The 27317-nt window shown below is 46.5% G+C and overlaps 1 protein-coding gene across 2 annotated transcripts, besides 2 other annotated features; it reads left to right on the top strand.

Annotated features, from left to right (window-relative positions):
• Positions 175 to 664: a silencer, noted in NCBI's record as "silent region_12577". NCBI's record gives its function as "represses an Ori minimal core promoter by ATAC-STARR-seq in GM12878 lymphoblastoid cells {active_cell/tissue: GM12878}" and the evidence as "EXISTENCE:reporter gene assay evidence [ECO:0000049][PMID:35858748]".
• Positions 264 to 27317, top strand: TBC1D20 (TBC1 domain family member 20). Of its 2 annotated transcripts, NR_111901.2 has the most exons (10): positions 264 to 461; positions 14723 to 14908; positions 17667 to 17747; positions 20754 to 20940; positions 21108 to 21209; positions 22408 to 22549; positions 23502 to 23689; positions 23956 to 24247; positions 25199 to 25357; positions 26827 to 27317. NR_111901.2 is itself a non-coding variant. In NM_144628.4 (8 exons), exons 1-8 carry the CDS (start codon positions 392 to 394, stop codon positions 24209 to 24211), a joined length of 1212 nt encoding a protein of 403 aa, NP_653229.1. In that variant the 5' UTR covers positions 264 to 391; the 3' UTR covers positions 24212 to 27317. The 2 variants fall into 2 exon arrangements, 1 of the variants encoding a protein (NP_653229.1); NM_144628.4 differs by having other exon boundaries at positions 23956 to 27317.
• Positions 733 to 881: a silencer, noted in NCBI's record as "fragment chr20:442560-442708 (GRCh37/hg19 assembly coordinates)". NCBI's record gives its function as "represses an EF-1alpha promoter that drives an FKBP-Casp9 reporter gene in an ReSE screen in HepG2 liver carcinoma cells {active_cell/tissue: HepG2}" and the evidence as "EXISTENCE:reporter gene assay evidence [ECO:0000049][PMID:32094911]".

Genomic DNA, 27317 nt, shown 5'->3' with positions numbered 1-27317 from the left:
ACTCTCAATAACCTTGTGAGTTCAATATTTTTATTATCATCAATACTATTTTACAGATGAAAGAAGCAAAGGAAACGACAGCTGGTCTCGAGCACACTCGCTCAAGAGCGCCACACTCTACACCGTAGAGTCTACAGCGCAGACGAAGCCAACTCCTCAGAGCGCTCACCGCGCTCTTTCCGCAGCCTCCCCCGCCGCCGGCCGGGCGTAGCGCAGGGTCACGTGCCGGCGCGGGGCGGGGCCAGCGGGGCGCCTGCGCGCCTGCGCGCCGCTGGCCGACGGAGGGGAGCCTGCCGATGCCGAGCGGGTGCTACGTCCCGCGGTCGGAGCCGCGTCTTCTCCCGGCTCCGCCACCAGCCGGGGCTCGGGTGGGGGCCCGGGGCCCCGGGGCATGGCCCTCCGGAGTGCGCAGGGCGACGGCCCCACCTCCGGCCACTGGGACGGCGGCGCGGAGAAGGCAGGTACGGAAGCCGACCGGGGCGCCGGGAGCGGCCTGCGAGGGCGGCCCGGGGGGCAGGGGCAGCTGGCGGAGGCGGCGCCGGAGGGGCGCGGGCTGGGGACCCGGGGCTGCTGCGGGGTTCCGGGCGGCGAGAGGAACAGGCTGAGGGCCCAGGGCACGTCTGATGAGGAGAGGGCCTGGAACTGGGGGGGCTCGGGCGGGTGCCGAGCTGACCCGAGGGAGCCTGGCGGCAGAGTCGCGTCCCCAGGCAGAAGAGCGGGCGGCGGCTTCGCGCCCCGGCTTTCTTCCATCTGGAGAGGACTGGGACTCCTCGAGCGCGGAGGCCAGGCCCACCCCGTCCCAGGCGTCCGCCACGTCCGCAGGCTCCCGGAGCCGCCTCCCCGAGGGGTATCAGCTCTCCCGAACTGCATTCACCGTCGCCGGCTTGATTGACGCGCTGCCCGCGTACCGCCGATGTAATTACCACACAGTTCTTCCTTTAAGGTGCACAGTTCAGTGATTCTTAGAAAATTCACAAAGTTGTGCAGCCATCGCCGCTGTCTGATTCCAAAACGAAACCCTTACCCATTAATAGGCACTCCGCGTTCCCCGGTATTCACGACGCCTGGCAACCACGAATCGACTTTCTGTCTGTCTTCTGCCACCTATTTTAATGTTATTCAATTGTGTAAAAGCGGCCGGGCACCATGGCTCGCGCCTGTAATCCCAGCGCTTTGGGAGGCCATGGTTGGAGGATCGATTGAGGCCAGGATTTCGAGATCAGGCTGGGAAACACAGCGAGGCCTCATCTCTACAAAAAGTTTTTAAAAGTTAGTCGGGTGTGGAGGCTCGAGCCTGTGATCCCAACGACTCTGGAGGCTGAGGCAGGAGGATCGCTTGAGCCCAGGACTTAGAGGCTACTCTATGATTGCGCCACTGCACTCCGGCCTGGGTGACAGATGGAGACCCTATCTCAATAATAATAATAAGTAAATAATTGTATAAAAAGCGCTTCTATTTTTATACTCTTTTAGTTTGGACAATTTCTGTGAAATCATGTTTTTGTTGCACATGATGTTCTCAAATGTTTTTCATTCAATAAATACATGACAGTTAAAATTATGAATGTACACCGTGAACCAAGTTAAATAATCTTTTTTCCTTGAGGAAGACTAAGGTGACTTTCCCTATTTCCAGTCCTCTGATGGATGGTGCCCGTAACAGAGCCAAACACGTTATTAATACAACCCACATATTTTGAGGAAGCTCCTGGTATCTATATTTTATTTTATATTTTATTTGGGCTCATTTTCTGTTTTTCCCTTTTTCTTATGTTCTGATACTGAATGGAAGTGGAGCTCTGAACCCTTTGGCACCGTAACCCTTTAATTACTGGTGTTTGTGTGATGTCTGTCCTCATGGCATAACAGTCAATGCCCTAGGCAGCATGGGTCTTGTGACCTGTTGGCAGTGCAGCTGTGTATCTGTTGCAAGACTTTACCCCCTCTAGTTTCCTTGATTTTGCTTCTCTGGATGAATGGGACAAATTTAAAGATGAGGTTTTTTGTTTTTGTTATTGTTTTGTTTTTTAATCATATCAGAGTATTGTTGGCAAAGTTACTAATGCTAGAATCCCTCTTTTGTAGCGTTTATAGTCAGATTGGTTTACTTACTAGACTGTTTTTTTCCATTGTAGTGAAACATTCTTTCTTGGTACCTGCTTTTTCCAGGTAGTTAACAGAATCTTTGCTAATTTGGATACTGTTTTGTAGAAACTACTAATGAAGACCTCCAGAAACAGAGGCTAGTTTGTTTTATTTTGTGTTTAATAGAACTCTTACCCAGACTGAAATAAGGTTTTCCTCTCCTGCTGTGGTCTTCTGGTACAGACGTGGAGTTAAAGCATTTTTTTTTTTTTTTTTTGAGAGATGGGATCTTGCCCTGTCACCCGGGTTGGAGTGCAGTGTCACAGTCAAAGCTCACTGTCATCTCCCAACTCCTGGACTTAAGTGCTCCTCCCACCTCAGCCTCCTGAGTAGCTGGGACTACAGGCATAAATTTTCAAGTTAATTTCCAATGTCAATATCAGTAGTTGTGGGTGGGTGTAGGGGTATGTCTGTCTCCCTCCCTCCACACAAAACGGCCCCCCCCTTCCATTGTTTTAAGACTAGCATTTCTTAATTTGAGCTTAATTTCAGTTTAAAGACTGTAAAGCCTTTATGATAATGCAGGCTTAAACCAAATAATCAGTATGGAATTTTGTACGCTCACACGAGATTCCATTATATAAATTAGTTGATCCAAGTTAGTATTTGTTTTGGTGATATGAAAAAATATATGAAAAAACTTTTAGAGGAGGCATGGATAGTGGTCATCTTTAGTTGTTATCGTCCCTTCCCAGTGTATTAAGTGCCCTAATCCAGGTGATTTTGGACATGCCTATTACTCTGAGGGGGCAGAAATCTTTACCTGGATTCTGTAGCCAGAGTTGGGAGAAGTTTAAGCCAATAGTGGGTTGTGTCATCTTTATCTGAACCATTAAGAACCACAGTTCAGATGAAGTGTCCCATTGTTAAAATTAGCATTTTAGGGAGTTGAGTCTGATCTCCCTCCCTGACTACAAAACCCTGTTGCAGTTGTTGCTATACCTATTGCTGTGGTGCCCCTCAAATAAAGTCTGCTTTGCCCTCTTTATAAATAAATAAATAAATAAATAAAAATAAGCGTTCTAATGAAGAGTAGGCCAAAGTCATACCTATCTTCCTTTGTTGAATGAATTACTTTTCAGGCATCAGGGATTTATTTATAGCAGTCTTATATTTTGCAGCCAGCTGTAGGACGGTCATTCGTTCCATCATGGTTATGATAGCCAAGACCTCTACTATAAAGGAATTTGGAAGGTATCAGCTTTGGAATAATAGTGCACTATCTTGTAAGTGGGGCAATAAAGAAATTGGAGAAGAAAGGATTGAGGGAGATTAGAATGACATACATTCTACCTCTAGATGAAATGTGGGCTTTTATTCCAAGCCAGATACAGCGTTCTCAAGTCCAGAAATGTGTGTCCTGCTCTAAATCTATAAAGTTTATCTCGAAATACAATAGATAATAGGCATTTATTTTAATCTTTTCCTGAACATCCCAAGAATAGCTCTATGATGTTTCTCTTTCGGAAATAAACAGGATGTCTGTGAATTTGTCTTTCAGTGGAGACGCTGCTAACTCCCTCCCTGTGTCGTCTAGCAGTTGATCTCACTCTGTAATTCATACATCTTTAGCTCACTTGAATTTTCTGTTTCCTCTTCCCTTTTTATGTCACAGTGAGAGCCTATACATTTAGTTGGAATAAAGTATTTGTCAGAGTGGCACACGTGGGAGTGCTTTCTCCATCTGCCACTGACATTTAATCACTAGGCTGTGGGGTTGAGGAGGGTGGTGTTGGGGCCTGAAAAAAACAGCAGCCGAAATCCACGTTGGGACAGCATCCTCCTCTGGGAAACACCGGTAGTGTTAGAAACAGGCCAAAGAGTCTGCAGATCTGTTTAGAGAGTTCTGCAGTGAGCATCACCTTAACAGTATGGGAAAAATAATGTCATTTACTGCAAGCCAGTTTTTTCCAGAGGAACAATAACTAAACTAAATCACTTACTATATTCTGCACGTATTTGTTGCGTTCCCACAGAGTGCCAAAAATTTTGAAATAGTAAGTAAATTTTGAAATGCAGGATTAAAAGTAGAATTGGAGGCCAGGTATGGTGGCTCAACGCCTGTAATCCCAGCACTTTGGGAGGTCGAGGTGGGTGGATCACTAGAGCCCAGGAGTTTGAGATCAGCCTGGGCAACACTTTTTTTCTCTACAAAATATATATACGCAAAAATTAGCTGGGCCAGTGGAGCTTGTCTGTGGTCCCAGCTACCTGGGAGGCTAAGGCAGGAGGATCACTTGAGCCCAGAAGGTTGAGGCTGCAGTGAGCCATGATCGTGCCACTATTCTCCAGCCTGGGTGACAGAGTAAGACCCTGTCTCTAAAAAAAAAAAAAAAATTGGAACAGAGTCTTAAGAGAAATGAGTTATGGGAGGTATGATTTGAGGATTTGAGTTCAGAATTAAGTAACATTCTGGCAAATGGTTTGCCAAAACCTCATGGAAATTCAGTTGACTGCATAGTGGTTTTTTTCCCCAAGATACAAGATTTCCTTTCTCCCAGATTGCCGAATAGCTTATTTAGAAAGAGAGATGGGGTGGATGTATGTCTAAACAAACTGAAGAAAAATTATCATACTCTTAGCAAATAGGTTAACAAGACTTCTGAATATCAGCTTCCCTCAAGCAGTATTCAGTATTGCCACTCAAGTGCTGTCAATTTGTGATGTGTGGAAAGTGCAGGGGTACTCCCAAGTTAAAAAAAAATTAAATATGTTAGGTTTTTTCTCTTTGTTGGAAATTAAATTCTTCTCATGGTTTGCCTCCACCGATGTTATATAAAAAGGCTTCTCTGTTTCCTGCATGTTTTTGACCCCTCTTGAAAACGTACAGCCTGGTCTTCCAAAGGATGGCCCTCAGGCCCAAAGTAAAATCCCTCCCTGTCTTCCTCCTGAGTACAGGATAAACCCAGACTCCTTTGCGGGATGAATCCAGCCCAGCCTCTTTTACTGCGGTGCTACCTGCTTCTGTTCTCTCCCTTTACCTGGCACTTCAGCTTCATAGAACTCTTTGTTTCCTGGACATGGTGTTTCTTTCATGTGACAAGGTCTTTGCACATAACTCTTCTGCCTGGAGTACTTTCCCCTTAACACACTCTTCCCTGTGGCAAAATTTTCTTTAAGAACGTACCAGAGCCCAGTGTGGTGGCTCACATCTGCGATCCTAGCACTTTGGGAGGTTGAGGCAAGAGGATTGCTTGAGCCCAGGAGTTCAAGATCAGTCTGGGCAACATAATGAGACCCCACCTCTACAAAAAATTTTTTTAAAATTAGGCATGGTGGCATAGAAGGCTGAGGTGGAAGGATCGCTTGAGCCCTAGAGGTTGAGGCTGCAGTGAGCTATGATTGTGCCACTGCACTCCAGCCAAGGCAACAGAGTGAGACCCTGTCTAAATAAATAAATAAAAATTAAAAAGAAGGGCCAGATGCGGTGGCTCATGCCTGTAATCCTAGCACTTTGGGAGGCCAAGGTGGGCGGATCACCTGAGGTGGGGAGTTCGAGACCAGCCTGACCAACATGGAAAAACCCTGTCTCTACTAAAAATACAAAATTAGCCAGGCATGGTGGTGCATGCCTGTAATCCCAGCTACTCGGGAGGCTGAGGCAGGAGAATTGCTTGAACCTGGGAGGTGGAGGTTGCGGTGAGCTGAGATCGTGCCGTTGCACTCCATCCTGGGCAACAAGAGTGAAACTCTGTCTCAAAAAAAAAAAAAAAAAAAATTAAAAGAAGGATCCAGAATATATTCTTGGTGAAGCCTTTCCTGACTGCTTTAGAAGTAGTCATTCTTGGCCAGGTGTGGTGGCTCACTCCTGTAATCCCAGCACTTTGGGAGGCCGAGGCAGGCAGATCACCTGAGATCAGGATTTCAAGACCAGCCTGGCCAACATGGCAAAACCCCGTCTCCACTAAAAATACAAAAAATTAGCCAGGCGTGGTGGTGAATGCCTGTAATCCCAGCTACTCGGGAGGCTGAGGCAGGAGAACTGCTCAAACCCAGGAGGTGGAGGTTGCAGTGAGCTGAGATCGCAACACTGCGCTCCAGCCTGGGCAACAAAGAGCGTAACTCCGTCTCAAAAAAAAAGAAGAAGAAAAAAAGTCATTCTTTCCTCTGGATTTTCATAATCCCTCAGATTCTATTATATATAATAATTGTTTGTGTCCCTACTGTGAGCCCTTCAAGGGCTGGGAGGGAGTAATTCATCTTTTTATCCCCAGTACAGTGCTTAGTACAAGTAGACACCCATTAAGTGACAGACTGATGAATGACTGGACAAATGGGCAGGCGGATGAATGGATGAATGGATGAATGGATGAAAGGACACACCTGAGTCAAGAGCTTGACACATCTCATGAACAATTGACTAGGTGTTATGCTGACAGAAGAAATTGGAGATTTTTTTTTGTTTTTGAGACAGAGTCTTACTCTATCACCCAGGCTGGAGTGCAGTGGCACAATCATGCCTCACTACAACCCGCCTCTGCCTCCTAAGCAGCTGGAATTACAGGTGCACGCCGTCACGCCCACCTATTTTTTGTAGAGACAAGGTTTTGCCATGTTGTGCAGGCTGGTTGCTCTCCAAATCCTGGGGTCAAGCAATCTGCCCACGTCGGCTTCCTAAAGTGCTGGGATTATAAGCATGAGCCACGTCTGGACTAAAAACCATGCCCGGCAGTGGTTTTTATTTTATTATATTTTTATTTTTATTTTGTTTATTTTTTTGAGACGGAGTTTTGCTCTCGTTGCCCAGGCTGGAGTGCAGTGGCGTGATCTCAGCTCACTGTAACCTCCGCCTCTTGGGTTCAAGTGATTCTCCTGCCTCAGCCTCCCAAGTAACTAGGATTACAGGCACCTGCCACCACGCCTGGCTAATTTTGTATTTTTAGTGGAGACGGGGTTTCGCCATGTTGGTCAGGCTGGTCTCGAACGCCTGACCTCAGGTGATCCGCTCGCCTCGACTTCCCAAAGTGCTGGGATTACAGGCATGAGCCACCACGCCTGGCCTATTTTATTTTATTTTTTATTTATTTATTTTATGAGACAGAGTGTCACTCTGTTGCCCAGTCTGGAGTACAGTGGCATGATCTCGGCACACTGTAACCTCCGCCTCCCGGGTTCAAGCGATTCTCCTGCCTCATCCTCCTGAGTAGATGGGACTACAAGCGTGCACCACCACACCCGGCTAATTTTTATATTTTTAGTAGAGACAGGGTTTCACCATGTTGGTCAGGCTGGTCTCGATCTCCTGACTTCAGGTAATCTGCCCACCTTGGCCTCCCAAAGTACTGGGATTATAGGTGTGCCCAGAAGGGGTTTTATTTTTAATGATTTCTAGGTAGGTAACCATTTAATTTGGCTTCCAAACTGGGACATATTTGAGAATACAGGGAGCAGAAAGGGTTTGCTGTGAACAATTGTGCCAGGACTCTAGGTATAAACCAGGAAGATCTCAGACAGATGAGGACAAATGGTCACCCTACTAGGTTACCAGGAAACAGCAGTCAAGCCAGGAGGACAGGTTTACCGAGGTGAAAAGTTACTCCTATTATCTTTCTGTCGCACTTCCAATTGCACATGGCTCCAAACCAGCTAGTGCCTCTGTTTATGTGGGTTTTACGTTTCAGGTCTCATAGGTAGCTCACCTGTGACTTATTAGTACCAACTTTAATTTATGTTAATAATGGGCCAGACCTGATGGCTCATGCCTATAATCCCAGCACTTTGGGAGCCTGAGGCAGGCAGATCACTTCAGGTCAGGAGTTCGAGACCAGCCTGGCATGGTGAAACCCTGTCTCTACTAAAAATACAAAAAATTAGCTAGGTGTGGTGGCAGCATGCGCCTGTAATCCTGGCTACCTGGGAGGCTGAGGCCCGAGAATGGTTTGAACCCAAGAGACAGAGGTTCCAGTGAGCCAAGATTGCTTCACTGCACTCCAGCCTGGGAGACAAAGCAAGACTCTGTCTCAAAAAATAAAAATAAAATAATAATAATAATAATAATAATGTACAGCTTTGTCATAGAAACAGTTTGTAGACTCACAATGGTCTCAGACTAGAACATTGCTGGGGAAGATGCTTGGTGTCCCTTCTAAAACCTAATGTACCTTCTGTTAGTTATTTCTAAAATCTGCCCTACCTTCTGGTGATATCTTCCACTTCAAATGAACTCTGGTGCCTTGCACCTAATATATACTACATAAATATTTTTTAATTAGTCTATTTACTGTCAAATGGAAGGGCCGTATCTCCTGGCCTTTCTTCTGTACCCTTCATCCCAGCCCCTGAATGTCCTCCATTTCCTTTGTGTGTATACACATTTAGTTTTATTGTAACAAGGCAACTCGTACACTTTTTTTTTTCCTTTTTTCTTGTATAAGCAGGTGAATCCATGTTCTTTCTGCCTTTTTTTTTTTTTTTTGAGACAGAACTTGTCACCCAGGCTAGAGTGCAGTGGTGTGATCTCAGCTCACTGCAAGCTCCGCCTCCCAGGTTCACCTCATTCTCCTGCCTCAGCCTCTCGAGTAGCTGGGACTACAGGCGCCCGCCACCACGCCTGGCTAATTTTTTTGTATTTTTTTAGTAAAGACAGGGTTTCACCGTGTTAGCCAAGATGGTCTCGATCTCCTGACCTCATGATCTGCCCACCTCGGCCTCCCAAACTGCTGGAATTGCAGGCGTGAGCCACCGCACCTGGCCTAATTATTGTATTTTTAATAGAGATGGAGTTTCACCATGTTGGCCAGGCTCGTCTCAATCTCCTGACCTCAGTGATCCATCCACCTCGGCCTCCCAAAGTGCTGGGATAGGCCAGGTGTGGTGGCTCACGCCTGTAATCTCAGTACTTTGGGAGGCTGAGACTGGCGGGTCACGAGGTCAGGAGTTTGAGACTAGCCTGACCAACATGGTGAAACCCTGTCTCTACTAAAAATACAAAAAAAAAAATTAGCCAGGCATGGTGGCACGTGCCCGTAATCCCAGCTACTCAGGAGACTGAGGCAGGAGAATCACTTGAACCTGGGAGGTGGAGGTTGCAGTAAGCCGAGATTGCGCCTCTGCACTCCAGTCTGGGCAATAGGGCGAGACTCCGTCTCAAAAAAAAAAAAAAAAAAAAAAATGCTGGATTACAGGCACGAGCCACCGTCCGTGGTTGCTGTCGTTGTTGTTGTTGTTTTTGAGACGGAGTTTCGCTCTTGTCGCCCAGGCTAGAGTGCAGTGGCATATAGCATGATCTCGGCTCACTGCAACCTCTGCCTCCCAGGTTCAAGCAATTCTCCTGCCTCAGCCTCCCGAGTAGCTGGGATTACAGGCATGCGCCGCCACGCCCGGCTAATTTTTTGTATTTTTAGTAGAGACGGGGTTTCTCCATGTTGGTCAGGCTGGTCTCGAACTCCTGACCTCAGATGATCTGCCCACTTCGGCCTCCCAAAGTGCGAGGATTACAGGCGTGAGCCACTGCGCCCAGCCTGTTTTTTTTTTTTTTTTTTTTTTTTTTTTTTTTTTTGAAACGGAGTTTCGCTCTTGTTGCCCAGGCTGGAGTGCAATGGCGCGATCTGCAATCTCAGCTTACCTCAATCTCCGCCCCCTGGGTTCAAGCGATTCTGCTTCAGCCTCCTGAGTAGCTGGCATTACCGGCCTGTGCCACCACGCCCGGCTAATTTTGTATTTTTAGTAGAGATGGGGTTTCTCCGTGTTGGTCAGGCTGGTCTCAAACTCGCAATCTCAGGTGGTCTGCCCGCCTCGGCCTCCCAAAATGCTGGGATCACAGGCATGAACCACCGTGCCCAGCCTTGTTTTTGTTTTTAGAGACAGGTCACCAGGACACCTTCCTCCTTTTCCTCAGACTAGAACATTGCTGGGGAAGATGCTTGGTGTCCCTTCTAAAACCTAATGTACCTTCTGTTAGTTATTTCTAAAATCTGCCCTACCTTCTGGTGATATCTTCCACTTCACATGAACTCTGGTGCCTTGCACCTAATATATACTACATAGTTTAAATAAAATTTAGAATTCTGCTGGAGTGGAAAAGTCCAGTGCCTTGATAATAGGGTATTGCTCTGTCACCTAGGCTGAAGTGCAGTGGTGCTATCATAGCTCACCACAGCCTTATACTCCTGGGCTCAAGTGATCCTCTCGCCCCAGCCTCCTGAGTAGCTGGGACCACCATGCCTGGCTAACTTTTCGTACTTTTTGTAGAGACAGGGTCTCACTTTGTTGCCCAGGCTGTTCTCGATTTTGTGGACTCAAGTGATTCTCACACCTTGGCCCTCCACAGCACTGGGATTACAGGTGTGAGCCATTGTACCTGGCTTCCTTAACTTGTACACTTTTTTTTGTTTGTTTGTTTTTGAGATGGAGTCTCGCTATGTCGCGCCCAGGCTGGAGTGCAGTTGTGCGATCTTGGCTCACTCCAGCCTCTGCCACCGGGGTTCAAGCAATTCTCCTCTTTCAGCCTCATGAGTAGCTGGGATTACAGGCGTGCGCCACCAGGCCAGGCTAACTTTTGTATTTTTAGTAGAGACGGGGTTTCCTCATGTTGGTCAGGCTGGTCTCGAACACCTGACCTCGTGATCTGCCTGCCTCAGCCTCCCAAAGTGCTGGGATTACAGGTGTGAACCACTGTGCCCGGCCTTTTGCTTGTACACTTTTAACATTTAAAGCAGAGTATCATCTTTACAGTGAAAGAAAAATAAAATTTAAAAATGAACAGGAACAAAATTACAATACAGAATTCAATTCCAAATAAGATTCTACAGGTTATGCTGATTGTCCTAATCAAGTGGTGAGGCTCAAACCATCATTAAGAGAGAATTTATTGGTTTATTGATTTATTTAAACTATATATATATGGTTGAGGCTGCAGTGAGCCATGACTGTGCCACTACACTCCATCTTGAGTGACTGAACAAGACCCTGGCATCAAGGCATTGGACTTTTCCACTCCAGCAGAATGGGCTTTGCAGGAAAAGGAAGAAGGTATCTGGAAGCAATAGGAGACAAAAGTAAAGAAAAGGCAGATGTGATGGGTGCTGCTTTGGGTTTAACTTGAGACACCAAAGATAGGTAGGTCTGAAGCCGAGAGAATTTATTTATTTATTTATTTTTCTTTTGAGACAGAGTCTTGCTCTGACGTCCAGGCTAGAGTGCAGTGACGCTATCTCGGCTCACTATAACCTCCACCTTGCAGGTTCAAGCGATTCTCCTGCCTCAGCCTCCTGAGTAGCTGGGACCACAAGCGCCTGCCACCATGCCCGGCTAGTTTTTTGTATTTTTAAAGTAGAGACAGGGTTTCACCATGTTGGCCAGGCTGGTCTCGAACTCCTGACCTCAGGTGATCTGCCTGCCTTGGCCTCCCAAAGTGCTGGGATTACAGACGTGAGCCACCGTCCCCGGCCAAGAATGTATTTTAAAAAGGTCGTCTTACACTGCAAGGATGTTCATTAAACATCACAATTAAGCATGTCAAGAGAGTTTTGCTCCTCTTCCTTTTTAAGGTACACTTCTCAGGTTAGCTTGGCCCTGACCCACTGCAGTCTCTTTGAGCTCTTGGCCATTATTGTCTGCATGCACCTTTTTTGACAATTATAGTCTACTGCCTTGTGACGTTTGGTGTTGTCTTGTGTAACATTTCTTGTGTTTTTGACATATTTTCTCAATGGTACTGGCAACTAGAAAGAACTGAAATACAGGCATCATCCATTTAACTTCCACAAGCCATCCCTAAAAGCAGACATTCTGCATGCAAACTTTCAGAGCCTTTTACTCCTTTATCTCCCCTGATCTCAGCCAAAGGCCAAAAAGCAATACTCTGTTATTTCACATAGAAAAATGATATGATAGCTACTAACCACAAATTCCCAACCAATTTCCCAAAAAAGTTATTTATTTATTTATTTGAAGGCTAGTCAAGTGAAGCAGTGGGCGTGGAAAAGGAACAAAGAAATCTAACTGATTGTAATCAATGAGTTGTAAATAGCACCACTCAGGGACCAGTCCTAAAAAGTAATTTAAACATGGCAAAATGTCTATGAATAACAGACTATCACATAAGGATGTAAGATGCTTAAAACATTACTTACTATGGTTTTTAAGAAACAGTTCCTTTGTATGCAGTGTCACAGCCTCTCTGTGGCAGTGTCTGGTGGCAGTGTCACCAGCCACACTGGAAACCCAAGTACCCTTTGACACTGGTTTTGAAAACATCTCTGTGTTGGCCAGGCGTGGTGGCTCACGCTTGTAATCTCAGCACTTTGGGAGGCTGAGGCAGGTGGATCACTTGAGGTCAGGAGTTCGAGACCAGCCTGGCCAACATGGTGAAACCCTGTCTAAAAAAAAAAAAAAATTAGCAAAGCGTGGTGGTGCATGCCTGTAATCCCAGCTACTCAGGAGGCTGAGGCAGGAAAATCACTTGAACCTGGGACAGGGAGGTTGCAGTGAGCTGAGATCGCGCCATTACACTCCAGCCTGGGCGACAGTGAGACTCCATCTCAAAAAAAAAAAAAAATCTCTATGTGATTCTAATGTTTTTACCAGTTGTAGTAGCGTGTAACAGGAGACCTTTTCATGTGGTTATGTTTTCAATGTAGTATCGAGTTTTGGTGACATGCATTTTTCCTATTTAAACAACAGGAAAAAATTGTTACAGTAAGAGATGTATATGCTCTGTGAAGTTTGGGAATTAAGAATGGACATTCTTGTATGAAAACATTGACACTAACTGCTAGATATGCCTGAATTTACTGAGCGTTTATTATAGTTGTAATTCCTTGCTTGTTACTTACACAGTATATCTCCTTAGTGCTTTGCATATTACGTACTAATTAAATATCTGTAGGTTGATTTGTAAAATACATGTTGTTTCAGAGTGAGGAGGGGAGCTAATATTTAGTAAGTATCTACTGTGTACCATGGTAACTATCCTGACAAGAGGGTGTCAGTCCAGAGGCCCAGAGCAGGGAAGTCATCTGTCCAAGATTATGGATCAGATAAGTGGCAGAGCCAGGATTTGAACCAAGATCTGTCTGATTTTAACACATTTCTTTTTTCACTTATCATTTTTTTTGAGACGGAGTCTCACTTTGTCGCCCAGGCTGGAGTGCAGTGGCACGATCTTGGCTCACTGCAACTTCAGCCTCCTGGGTTTCAAGCGACTCTCCTGCCTCAGCCTCCCGAGTAGCTGGGATTACAGGTGCATGCCACCACGCCTGGCTAATTTTTGTATTTTTAGTAGAGATGAGGTTTTGCCATGTTGGCCAGGCTGGTCTCGAACTCCTGACCTCATTATCTGCCCACTTCGGCCTCCCAAAGTGCTGGGATTACAGGCATGAGCCACCGTGCCCAGCCTCACTTACCTTTTTTTTTTTTTTTTTTTTAATGTATTGGGAGGCTGAGACAGGAGAATCACTTGAACCCGGGAGGCAGAGGTTGCAGTGAGCCGAGATCGTGCCACTGCACTCCAGCCTGGCGACAGAGCAAGAGTCCTTCTCAAAAAAAAAAAAAAAAAAGTACATATAGGCTGGGCGTGGTGGCTCACACCTGTAATCCTAGCACTTTGGGAGACCGAGGCAGGAGGATCACGACGTCAGGAGTTCATGACCACCCTGGCCAACGTTGTGAACGCTATCTCTGCTAAAAATACAAAAATATAGCTGGGCATGGTGGTGCGTGCCTGAAATCCCAGCTACTTGGGAGGCTGAGGCAGAATTGCTTGAACCGGGACCCGGGAGGCGGAGGTTGCAGTGAGCTGAGATTGCGCCACTGCACTCCAGCCTGGGCTACAGACCGAGACTCCGTCTCAAAAAAAAAAAAAAAAAAAAGTACGTGTAATTATTTCTGGACCAGGCATGGTGGCATGCACCTGTAGTCCCAGCTGTTTGGAAGGCTGAGGTGGGAGGATCGGTTTTGCCTAGGAGTTTGAGGCCAGCCTGGGCAACTTAGAGAGACAATGTCTCTTTTTTTTTTTTTTTTTCAAGACGGAGTCTCGCTCTGTCATCCTGGCTGGAGTGCAGTGGCACGATCTCGGCTCACTGCAACCTCCGCCTCCCAGGTTTAAGTGATTCTTCTGCCTCAGCCTCCTGAGTAGCTGGGACTACAGGCGAGCACCACGATGCCCAGCTAATTTTTGTATTTTTAGGAGAGACGGGGGTTCACCATATTGGCCAGGCTGGTCTCGAATTCCTGAACTTGTGATCCGCCCACCTCGGCCTCCCAAAGTGCTGGGATTACAGGCATGAGCCACCACACCCAGCCGACACTGTCTCTTAAAAACAACAACAACTAATAATTATTTCCAGTCTGTGCCTATGATTTTTGGTTCAGACCTATAAAAAGAGACTATCTTTTTAAAAATCGGTGATTTAAAATCTGTTTTATAGTGGGCTCTCCAAGCCTCCCACCATGAGGTCCAGTAGACTGGGCCCGAAATGAATAGTGCATCTGGCTGTGAGACTTTATGCCAGCAGGCAGTCTTAGAGCTAAGAGGAGATACTTACCTGTACCTCATATCAAAAAGGAGCTTGAGTCCTAGGCAGAAAATATGCACGTGCTGAATGTGCGCCTAATTCTTCCCTATCCTTATCTTCAGACTTTAACGCCAAAAGGAAAAAGAAAGTGGCAGAGATACACCAGGCTCTGAACAGTGATCCCACTGATGTGGCTGCCCTTAGACGCATGGCTATCAGTGAAGGAGGGCTCCTGACTGATGAGATCAGACGAAAAGTGTGGCCCAAGCTCCTCAATGTCAATGCCAATGACCCACCTCCTATATCAGGTAAGGGGAGTGGGGGAGGCTGTGAGGGGAGCTTATCTAGGAGACAGGGGGAAAAGAATTCCAGGATCTTTAATTTTTATGGTCCTTTCAAACCAAGGGTATATGAATAAATCTAGGGTGTTTTGGGAAATGCTTGGGCCCACTCTGAAAATAAGGCCAAACCGATAAGTAGAATTTTATTCAAAAGTGGAATGAGTTCTTTTTTTACTTGTTTTTATTTTATTTATTTTTGAGACGGAGTCTTGCTCTGTCACCCAGGCTGGAGTGCGGTGGCACAATCTCAGCTCACTGCAACCTCTGCCCCCTGGGTTCAAGCAATTTTCCTGCCTCAGCCTTCCTAGTAGCTGGGATTACAGACATGCGCTACCATGCCTGGCTAATTTTTGTATTTTTAGTAGAGATGGGGTTTTGCCATGTTGACCAGGCTGGTCTCGAATTCCTGACCTCAAGTGATCAGCCTGCTTCGGCCTCCCAAAGTGCTGGGATTACAGGCATGAGCTACCACGCCCAGGCAAGTTCTTTTTTTATTAGGGATTAAAATATTGGCTAGGCAAGTGAATTTATTAAAAATGCATATGCTTTGTTCTGCATACTTGCTTGGCAAGTGTTTTTTAAAAATGCATATTTTGGGCCGGGTGTGGTGGCTCACGCCTGTAATCCCAGCACTTTGGGAGGCTGAGGCAGGTGGATCTTGAGGTCAGAAGTTCAAGACCAGCCTGGCCAAGATGGTGAAACCCCATCTCTACTAAAAAAAAAAAAAAAAAATACGAACATTAGCCAGGTATGGTGGCAGGTGCCTGTAATCCCAGCTACGCAGGAGGCTGCAGCAGAGAATTGCTTGAACCTGGAAGGTGGAGGTTGCAGTGAGCAGAGATTGCACCACTGTCCTCCAGCCTGGGTGACAGAGTGAGACTCCGTCTCAAAAAAAAAAAAAAAAAAAAAAAATGCGTATTTTGTGGCTGGGCGAGGTGACTCACACCTGTAATTCCAGCACTTTCGGAGGCTGAGGCAGGAGGGTCACTTGAGACTGGAAGTTTGAGGCCAGCATGGGCAACATTGCGAAACCCTGTCTCTACAAAAATTTAAAAACTAGCCAGACATGGTGGTGCACGGCTGTAGTCTTAGCTGCTTGGGAGGATGAGGCAGGATTACTTGAGCCCAGGAGTTTGAGGCCAGCCTGGGCAACATGGCAAGATCCAATCTCTAAAAGTAAAGTAAAATTAAACACACACAAAAACACCCTCTTTTGTCCGGGCACAGTGGCTCACGCCTGTAATCCTAGCATTTTGGGAGGCTGAGGCAGGTGAATCACTTGAGGTCAGGAGTTCGAGACCAGCCCGGCCAACATGGTGAAACCCCATCTCTACTAAAAATACAAAAATTAGCTGAGTATGGTGGCACACACCTGTAATTCCAGCTACTAGGGAAGCTGAGGCAGGAGAATCGCTTGAACCGAGGAGGCGGAAGTTGCAATGAGCCGAGATTGCGCCAGTATACTCCAGCCTGGGCGACAGAGTGAGATACTCAAAAAAAAAGAAAACACCCTCTTTTTATTGGGAAATACTGAAATCCTTTGGAGTTCTAAAATCCTGTAATTCTGTGAAAAGAGTTACCTAACTAATGTGCAAGGCCCATGTGGTGAAAAGAGTTCCTTGGAATGAAGTTCAAAATAGTAAAAGTCCTGTAGAACAGTGAATCCACTCTGCTGCTCATTCACTCAGTGCACTCACCTTGTAGCTTTCCTGCCATCATGGCAAAATGCCAAGTGCTGAGGATTCTTTCAGTTGGCAAATATTAGTTGTGCTATGATTGCCAGGTACTGGAGATGATTGAAACAGGACTTCTGCCACCAAAAAGTTCACAGCGTCATGATGTCACCCAGTAGGTGTTGAGTTGCCACTTGTTATTATCCTTGGAATTGGCTGCTTCAGAGCAGTCAGCTTTTTGTTGGAAGGCTAAGGCAGTGCCATGTTCACACCCTGAATCCTGAGATGATGTTCTTCTATCAGGTTCCAAACTTCCCTCATCTTTTTATACCGTGAAGCCTACGTGTGAGGAAGTGTTGCCCAGCCTTACTAGCTTTGGATTTGGGTTGTGAGAGAAATGTACGCTTATTATACAGCACTTGGTTTGGTTGGAGGAAATGTACACTTGTTATATGTATAATGGCTAGAGACTGCCTCCTTTCATGCTGTATTGGACTTAGCAGCTGAACACAAGGACTGTCTCCTCTTTGCAGCTCTTTAGTTTTAGAATTGCTGGGTCAAGAGTTGTTAGGTGGTTCTTTATGTGAGTCTCAATATACCTTTCTAAACAGCTTAGTGCTCCCACAACTTTATAGGCGTTAGGGTTTTTTTCAGTGGTCTGTTGTTCCCACATTCATGATTTTATTTGATCCTTGGAATATCCTCATTTTGTAGCTGTGGACTTTGAAATTCAGAGCAGTTCCCAGTGATGCACAGTGGCCTTCTGCACGAGGCGCCTGGCCTCCTTACGTCTTTGCTCTCCTTCCCACCCTGCTGTATTGTCTCCTGGGCAGTCTGTGCTCCCTTCTCTTAGGGTCATTGTGACTTGCAGGAAACATAATGTTTGGAACCAAACTAGGGATTCCCTGCCAAATGTTGTATCTTGAGTCATATCATCCTCTTCAGGAGAAGCTGACATGTGCCCTCTAGGCCTTTTGTGTCATCCCAGAATGTTTTGCTTCTGGTCTGGCTTCTCAGGCATTCCTGCAATAACGTGCCTTTTCCTTCAATAGGGAAGAACCTACGGCAGATGAGCAAGGACTACCAACAAGTGTTGCTGGACGTCCGGCGGTCATTGCGGCGGTTCCCTCCTGGTGAGAAGCTCTCCCGGTCCTGCCACATTTGGAAAGACTGTATCTGTTCCAGGTCATACCATGTGACCTAATATGCTGGACCCTGCCGCCTCAGGGACCTTCAGAGCTCTCCTTTTGCTGAGTCATCCTTTTCTTGACTGGTCACTTTCAGACCCCCACTGTGAAAGCCTGAACCAAAAATAATTTCTCCTGGCCTAGAGGTGGTGAATGAGAGAAGAGGTTTTTGTTTTTCCTTGAAGCCACAAAAAGGAGTTAATAAGGATTGTTAGAGCCATCAGTCTGGCATTAAAGAGCAGATTGGTGTGGAATTGGGCACCAACAAGAATGAGTAATATCTTAATTAGGTTTAAAAACGATGGTACCTTGCGCATACATATGTAAGATTCCTTAGAGGGAAGAGAGGCCATTCCCTGTTTGTGTAAGAGTATATTCCTTAATTAACAAATTAAGCAGCAATAGATAAAAAAATAAATAAATAAAAACAAAACAAACAAACAAAAAAGAATGTATTCCTAAAATTACCTCTTTATTTCAGGAAGAAAGAAAAGAAGGACCGTTGTCTCAATTTTCACAGTGAAGGGAACTGGGCAACAAACCTCACATGGATGACCTATTTTTCTTCCTCTGGCAACTCCACCTTTAGGTCATGAAGAGAGGAGAATTGCTAAAGGGAACAGGAGCCTCTAAGCTGGCTGCCTCCCTCTTCTGCACTGTGCTCTGGCCTGGCTTTTGTTGTTGAAGGGGCTGCTTTCCTGCTGGCATTCTTGCTCCCTGGACAGATTCTTGCAATACCCAGGTAGCAGTAGCCTGCCAGCGTGGTTTTGATAAAAGCACATGCCCACGGTCCATTCCCTTTTCCTAGCCTGCTGGTTTGGATGAGATCATATAGGACAGATGCCTCCCTTTTTTTTTTTTTTTTAAAGACAGAGTTTCACTCTTGTTGCAGGCTGGAGTGCAATGGCACTGTCTCAGCTCACTACAACCTCCGCCTCCCAGGTTCAGGCAGTTCTCCTGCCTCAGCCTCCCAAGTAGCTGGGATTACAGGTGCCCGCCACCACGCCCAGCTAATTTTGTGTGTGTGTGTTTTTAATAGAGATGGGGTTTCACCATGTTGGCCAGGCTGCTCTCGAACTCCTGACCTCAGGTGATGCACGTACCTCAGCCTCCCAAAGTGCTGGGATTACAGGCAAGAGCCACCCCCATTTTTTCCTAGGTAACCTGTTTTCCCTCTGAACCCTTTATTCCTCTTCCATTGATGTAATATCTGTGATACGCTTTCTGTAGGCTGAACTTACAGTGTGGCTTCATATTCTTTTTCCATTCATGGTCTTCTGGGCTTGGCTCACTGCTTTTCTGCTGAAAATTCACACAGGGTTTAATTTTTACTCTCACTCCTTTCACTGCTTCACCTATCAGCAGCCCTGGGTTTGCTTCGTTTCCTTATTTATCTTTTAGGGTATGCTTTTTATTTGAGAAGGGGTGGGGTAAATATGGGCAAGAGGTGAGTTTTGCTCTTACCTGCAATCCTTTGTCCGGTTTAGTTTGGGCCCTTACATTAGCTGCTTTCTCTCTCTGAGTATGTGTTTGTAACTGAAAGCTAATGGTGTGGAGAAGCTGTGCATGTGCCATTCTTCTAACCTGGCTCATAAGGCCAAGGCATTTTTACTGCTGGCAGCACTAGCTCCAGCAGTAAAAGAACTCCCTGAAAGAACTCCTGAGACAGGCTTCCCTATTTCCAGCTATAATACATCTTTGGATCAAGAGGATCAGTTTTTCCTGTAACGTTTGCTTTGGTTTAAAGGGGACCGTGTAACTTTAAAATTTTTTTATTTTTATATAATTTCATACTTACTGAAAGGTTGTAAAAATAGGACAAAGAATTCCCCAGATACCTTTTACCCAGATTTCCTTTTGTTTTCACATTTTACTACATTTGCTTTTTTTTTCTTGGAGACGGAGTCTTGCTCTCTCGCCCGGGCTGCAGTGCAGTGGCACGATCTCAGCTCACTGCAAGCTCTGGTTCCTGGGTTCATGCCATTCTCCTGCCTCAGCCTCCCAAGTAGCTGGGACTACAGGCGCCTGCCACCACGCCCAGCTAATTTTTTGTATTTTTTATTAGAGACGGGGTTTTTCACCATATTAGCCAGGATGGTCTCGATCTCCTGACCTCGTGATCCACCTGCCTCTGCCTCCCAAAGTGCTGGGATTACAGGCGTGAGCCACCGCGCCTGGCCTACATTTGCTTTTTTAGCTGCTTTCTGTCTTTCCTTCGCTTTACACATAGACATACACTTTTTCTCTGAACTATTTAAGAGTAAGTTGCAAACATGACATCTTTTTACCCCAAGTGTTTCAGGACATATTTCCTAAATATAAGGCTCTCATGTAATCACAGTACACTGAGCAACATCAGTAACAACACTGAAAAATAGTTAACTAATTAATCCACAGATTTTATTCACATTTCACCATTTCTTCGAGTAATGTGCTTCACTGGAAAAGGAAATATAGATTTATGCGTTTCTCATGCTGTTGTCCTATATCTTTAGCCATTTTTAATCTGGAACAGTTCCTTTGTATTGTATGAGAGTTAAATTTCTCTTCCTTTGGGGATATTGGGTATTTCTTCATTGTGAGATTGAGGTCTGTGCGCTGTTGATAGAAATCCTGCAGACATGATGCTGAGCTCTGTCAGTGCATCACCTCGGGAGGCAGAGGCCGTCTGTGGCTCCCATAGTTGAAATTCTGCAGTTAAATACTGTGTCCCAGCAGTATTAACTGCAGCAACTTGGTTAGGGTGGCATCTGCAGCTTCCCCTACTGGAAAGCTAGCAGCTGCCTTTTCCTGTATGCCAGGTGGTATCAACAGTGGATCTTGATATGCGTTGCCAAATTATTTGTAATTCATTTTCCTTTTTTCTCTGAAAATTCATTGCTGGCCTTCTTCGACCTCCTTGTTAACTAGGCTGCTTGGTATGTTCAAAGGCATCTCTGTTCCTGTCCCCAGGCATGCCAGAGGAACAGAGAGAAGGGCTCCAGGAAGAACTGATTGACATCATCCTCCTCATCTTGGAGCGCAACCCTCAGCTGCACTACTACCAGGGCTACCATGACATTGTGGTCACATTTCTGCTGGTGGTAGGCGAGAGGCTGGCAACATCCCTGGTAGAAAAATTATCTACCCACCACCTCAGGTACCAGTAGAGAGGAACACAAGACGACGGGCATCACTCCTCAGCCGTCCTGGGGATAACTCACTGGCCTGTTTTCTGGTCAGCTTTTTTAGGAGTTTGAGCCCTCGCCACCCTGAGCCCTGATCTAAGTGTTTGGTAACCAGGCTTATTGAATTGTCTCCCTCCAGGGATTTTATGGATCCAACAATGGACAACACCAAGCATATATTAAACTATCTGATGCCCATCATTGACCAGGTGAATCCAGAGCTCCATGACTTCATGCAGAGGTACATATGTGTCTGCATTTCTGTGTGCATGCATACACACGCCCACACCCCCCCACACCTGAAACACTCCTCACAAGCCGAGCGCAGTTTCCTCATTGTCTTGGGTGGATTTGTTAAGTTCTCCCCAGTTGTTCCAGTCACCAGCAATCTGGGTAATTCAGTTCTTGGAGCATTTTTGGGGACTGTGCTCTTTGGGGGACATAGCCCATCCCTTGAGTTTACATCTAGTGGGGAGAGGTGGATAAGGTATGTATGCCAAGGTAAGATGTTGAGGTTATTGCCACAAGAGAAACACAAAGTCCTGTGGGATCCAGTGGCGAGAAGGGGAAGGCCAACAATGGGTTGTTTTATTTCCCAAGTACCAAAGAGAAGAAATATTTTTTTGCAAATCCCATGTGATGTTTTGTTTCTTCTCTGTTTAGTTGGAAATGTGTTCTTGGCCAATGCCTCTTTTTTTAAAATTTTTTAAAAGGTAATGGCTATGCCTTCTTTTTTTTTGAGATGGAGTATTTTCTCTTGTTGCCCAGGCTGGAGTGCAATGGCATGATCTTGGCTCACTGCAACCTCTATCTTCCGGGTTCAAGCGATTCTTCTGCCTCAGCCTCAAGTAGCTGGGATTACAGGCATGCGCCACCACGCTCGGCTAATTTTGTATTTTTAGTAGAGACAGGGTTTCTCCATGTTGGTCAGGCTGGTCTCGAGCTCCCGATGTCAGGTGATCCGCCCGCTTTGGCCTCCCAAAGTGCTGAGATTATAGGCGTGACTCACCGTGTCTGGCAGCTACATCTTAAGATATTTCAGTTGTCTCATGTTAACAGAAAAATTAATGCAGTCATGTTTTCAGGCTTGGGAATATGTACCTGTGCCCCCCAGAAGGGTAAGACTTAGTCAGAAGGAGAATCATGGCGTAGTTCTCTGAAAACAACTGCTTCTCGTTCCTGTAGTTGACATTTGTTGGCCAGTAGGCGAGCACCCAGTGAGATAAAGCAGCCAGGACCCTGTTGTGGTGTTAGTGTTGTGGTACACCTTAAAGACTTTGTATTAAATATTTTGTAAGGAGAAGATGCTGAATTCCTAGGTAACTGAATTTTCCAGAAATCTTATTCCTAAATGCTTCCTTCTCACCAGCGCTATAAGGCCCAGAGAGAGGGAAGGGATGGCCCACAGGACCTGACACCTGCCTTTCCTTTGTTTCTAGTGCTGAGGTAGGGACCATCTTTGCCCTCAGCTGGCTCATCACCTGGTTTGGGCATGTCCTGTCTGACTTCAGGCACGTCGTGCGGTTATATGACTTCTTCCTGGCCTGCCACCCACTGATGCCGATTTACTTTGCAGCCGTGGTAGGTACAGGCCACGAGCCAGCAGCTGGGTTCACCATCACCCATCCCACTGTGGTCATTTTCCCTGAAGGGAAACCTGGGGATTATGGAAAGATGCAAAAGACAGCACTTCCCAGGCTGGTGTCCCTGGACACCATTCTGTGCAGTATTAATGGGGGTGTCACACACAAAAAATAGTAAGTTGGGAAATGCTGGGTATAAACAAAATCAGATTTTTTTTGCTGCATGACACTTCTGAACCTTTAAAATGCTAATCTGCATTGTGAATTGTCAGGGTTCCTGTTGACATTGTCTGGAATATATGTTCAGCTGATGAACACAATTAGGGAAATAGTAGCGTAAGCTGTCAACTCCAGATTTAAGAAAAGAAGAGATCTGGTGTCATGACAGACAAGGGAGGCGGCTTGCGGTGGAGGGTAGGGGCTTCAGTTAGTAGAAGGGTCTTGAGGGATGGGGTGGAGATGGGAATTCAGGGAAGTCCTTCAATGACCACTGGTCCCTTGAGCATCTGTGGATTTGTGGACCAACAGTCAGAAGGAAGATGCTTAAAGGGAGCAAGACTGTTCTTTCTACTGTTTTGAACCATTTCTTCTATGCTGGAGCTCCAGGAATCTCCCAATAATTCTCCTACTTTCTCCTAAAAGAATCTCCTTCATTTCTTTCAAGACTTAAAGGGACACCTGAGCAGCCCAGCATGCCCGAAGGACTTAGATTGTAACTGGTCAGCCTTTCATGTCATGTGGTGGAAGTTTGCAGGAAGGGCCAGAGAGTAGGAGTAGCACTGAGCGTATATATGTTATTACTTCCTTGATGGATACAAGAGTTTGCTCAACATTTGGGCTGAGTCCTGTCTGTTACCAGTTTAAATTCATCTGCAAGGATAATGGAGTGCAGGTGGCCCAGGCCCTGTGTGTCTGGCCTCTGACTGCAAGGCTTTACTACCTCCCCACAGATTGTGTTGTATCGCGAGCAGGAAGTCCTGGACTGTGACTGTGACATGGCCTCGGTCCACCACCTGTTGTCCCAGATCCCTCAGGACTTGCCCTATGAGACACTGATCAGCAGAGCAGGAGACCTTTTTGTTCAGTTTCCCCCATCCGAACTTGCTCGGGAGGCCGCTGCCCAACAGCAAGCTGAGAGGTGAGCAAGGCTGGGACACTGGTTGAATGGGGGTGGCTGTAAATGAGCAGAAGCGAGGGAAGGTTTGTGTCTGGTGGGATAGGGTTGGGGCATGTTTCCAGAGATCTGAGCTTAGGCCAGTGGAATCCCCACTGTAGACATATGGGTCTTTATCATAAAGAGCTTTCCCAGCAATGAAAGGCTCTGCCCGCAGCCTATGTGGTGTAGTTTTGCTTTCCTCCTCCTCTTTCATACCACTTCCTTCCTTCCGTCTCTTTCCCCTGCAGGACGGCAGCCTCTACTTTCAAAGACTTTGAGCTGGCATCAGCCCAGCAGAGGCCTGATATGGTGCTGCGGCAGCGGTTTCGGGGACTTCTGCGGCCTGAAGATCGAACAAAAGATGTCCTGACCAAGCCAAGGACCAACCGCTTTGTGAAATTGGCAGTGATGGGGCTGACAGTGGCACTTGGAGCGGCTGCACTGGCTGTGGTGAAAAGTGCCCTGGAATGGGCCCCTAAGTTTCAGCTGCAGCTGTTTCCCTGAAAGCCAGAGAAGACCTTCCTCTTACATCACATTAAGGTCTCACCCTTCCATGGAAGGATTGGGAGGGGTGGAATTTCCTTTATTAAAAGGGTTTCTGTCCAGAGTTTTTTATTCCTGCCACCCTGCCCTGCCCGTTTGTGTTTGCCTTTACTTCAGAGGCCAGTAGCAGAGCCTACCTGACACAGAGGGGACCTGGGGGCCTGGCACAGAATCTTATGCCTCTCCCAGTGGGCTTTTGGATGGGCTCTCTGCCACCTCCCTGGTGTTGGAGGAAGTGGGTTTCTGAAGCTTGCAGCTGCTTTTGCAACCTGCTGGGCCTGGGCTGCCCTAGTTACCGGGAACCTCCTAGTCACCCCATAGAAGGTGAACTGGAACATGGGATGCCCTCTTACTGCTCCTGCTTGCCTGCATCAGATGGACACAGAAGGAGGGGGCTGCTGCTGAAGGAGTCAGGCTTGGGATGGAGAGCAAGAGGCCAAAGGACTCGTCTGGGAGCATGATCGGCCCCTCTTACTAGCAGCTCCATCAGCTGATCAGAAATCAGAGACAGAAGGGAACTAGGTTACTCGTTAAATCCTACCTATTTTCAGCCTAGAAATCACATGGGCGTTTCCAGTCAAGTGGGAAGGAAGCTCATTTTTAGGGCCTAGACCTAGACTAGTTTTGCCTGCCTTTTTTTCCTCCCTGCTTTCTTCTACAAGCCACACAACATTGCTTATAAAAGGTACTTTTATTACTATTTTTAGAATATATACACCCCATATGTAAATTACCCTCACTTTTAAAGTAATAATAGTTCCTTCACGGAAAAAAAAATAGTTCTCATCAGAAGGATGAGCTTCTAAGATCCTGAATTTTACTTTCTACTTGATTAACATTTTCGCTTTAGCCAGAGTTGCTATTTGCAAACAGCTTTCCACTTCCAAAGTGCCACTTTCTGACCGGTTTTTCTTCCTGTTTTCCTCAAATCATCCTACTCCCAAATAGGCACCCACTCACTACCTTGGCGTCGTTTTTTGGGTCTGACTTGACTCGTCAACTGCTGGTCTCTCCCACCTGGTTGGAAATGTCGTTGGAAACTTGCAAAGACTCTCCAGACCTTAGGGAACAAGAGGCATCACTCAGTCCTTCTGGGACAGCTTCCCTGTAAGCAAAGCCAGGTTTGTTTTAGATTCACTCTGGCCTGAAAAAAAAAGTGCCTTTTGCTGCTTTAAAGAATTGGGGTATATGGTATGAAGCAGCCATGTACTTGTATTTTCCTGGTCTTTCCTGGGCACTCTTCTCTCTTGGCAGATGTTTTCTTAAAGTGAACACACCAGAAGCACTCTACCCCACCATATCCAGTCCTCTTTGCATGCCTGTTGTGTGCAGGGTGGAGGGTGTCCCACGTGCCAGAGCAGCTGGGAGCCCTGTCCGCTGAGTTACACTAAGCACTTTATTTTTATTTATTTTATTATTATTTTCTTTTTTCTGAGATGGAGTCTCACTCTGTTGCCCAGGCTGGAGTGCAGTGGTGCAGTCTCAGCTCACTGCAACCTCCGCCTCCCAAGTTCAGGCAATTCTCGCTGCCTCAGCCTCCCGAGTAGCTGGGACTACAGGCACCTGCTACCACGCCTGACTAATTTTTGTATTTTTAGTAGAGATGGGGTTTCGCCACGTTGGCCAGGCTGGTCTCGAACTCCTGACCTCAGGTGATCTGCCCGTCTCGTCCTCCCAAAGTGCTGGGATTACAGGTGTGAGCCACCACGCCCAGCCACCACTACGCACTTTAAAACCAAAAAAAGCTCAAAGGGATGGATCATTGTCCATGGCTCAGGAGCCCCACTGTGGGGTAAGTGTGATGTCGATGGATTAATTTAGACAGTGGTGTATTCATCAGGGCAAAGGAAATTCTTCCAGAGGTGATGATGCGGCAGATATTCCCAGTGCTCTCCCAAAGCAAGCTGGCCCTCTTGTCATCCTCTCAGTGGGCGGCACCAGCTGCCCCTCCTTCCACAAGTACTCAAGCCTGTTTGTAAATACTGAAGGAATTGATGGGGTTGAGGAAAGGAGGTGCATGTGACCAGGGTCCCAAGGCCACAGCTTTTCAGATCCTAGGAAGCAAGTGGCATTTGCTTGAGTTGTGGCCTCGGAAGGAGAATGTTTATCTGTTTTCTAACTTTGCTGACACCAGGATTCTCCCTGTCATTGAGAAGAAAGCATTATCTAATTACCTTCAGGTGGTTTACTTATTCTGTAAAGAATATGTGTAAATATTTTGTACAGAGCCCTGTATCAAATAAACAGCCATATGTGGTTACTAATCACCTCTTCTGTCATTCCGTCCTTGGCCACCGCTCAGTGGGAATGGTCTCTGATCTGGATGCTCCCACCTTCCATGTCAGGCCCAGAACTGTGCCATGGTCTGTGGACTCCTGGTCAGCCTTGACTGGCTAGGAGACCTTGGGCAGTACCTACAGTCTTGCTGTTTCTGTTTCATCTGCAAGAATTATGACCCACACACTCCAGCTGCAGCCCAGGGCACTGTGATATTTTATACGTGTGTAGATGTTTTTGTCCACAGTTCCTGGTTCATCACTCCCATAACCCTTTGTTATAATGTTGGGACACTGCAGGCCTCAGAAAACGGAATCTCTGTCTGTGACCTTCTCCTGCCCCATTTCACTTGCTCAACACCAGACTTTAATCTGACTGTAGCTCATAAGACCCTCATTCCAGAGAGGGTGCTGCCCCATACCCGGAAGGAGGAACGCTGCACAGAGAGGCCAAGAAGCATCTGGACAGACAGGCCTTGCTGGGTTTAGACCTTATGCTTTTTGTCCAGTTTCATCTCAACACAGCTGCCATGCTTCAGCCATGCCTATCCAATGACGTCTCCATAAAAGGCCCAGGAACACGGGAGCTTCTGAAGAGCTGAACATGTGGAGGGAGGGGAACGAGAACTTGTCCATGTGCCAAGAGGGTGGCGCACCCCCACTCCATGGGGACAGAAGCTCCAGCATTTGCCCAGGACCCGTCCAGACCTCACCCTGTGTGTATCTTCATCTGGCTGTTTACTTATTTGTATCCTTTTCTAATAATGTTTGTAATAAACTGGTAAACATAA

The sequence above is a fragment of the Homo sapiens genome, chromosome 20 (assembly GCF_000001405.40).
Source record: "Homo sapiens chromosome 20, GRCh38.p14 Primary Assembly".
NCBI lineage: Eukaryota > Metazoa > Chordata > Mammalia > Primates > Hominidae > Homo > Homo sapiens.
This window is presented reverse-complemented; position numbering and strand designations above follow the sequence as displayed.

Bases quoted from the DNA above. Each gene is read 5' to 3' on its own strand.
- TBC1D20 (NM_144628.4), top strand. From the start codon at position 392: ATGGCCCTCCGGAGTGCGCAGGGCGACGGCCCCACCTCCGGCCACTGG. The intron at 462-14,722 runs GTACGGAAGCCG...CCTTATCTTCAG, and splicing joins CGGCGGCGCGGAGAAGGCAG to ACTTTAACGCCAAAAGGAAA. The intron at 20,941-21,107 runs GTACCAGTAGAG...GTCTCCCTCCAG, and splicing joins TTATCTACCCACCACCTCAG to GGATTTTATGGATCCAACAA.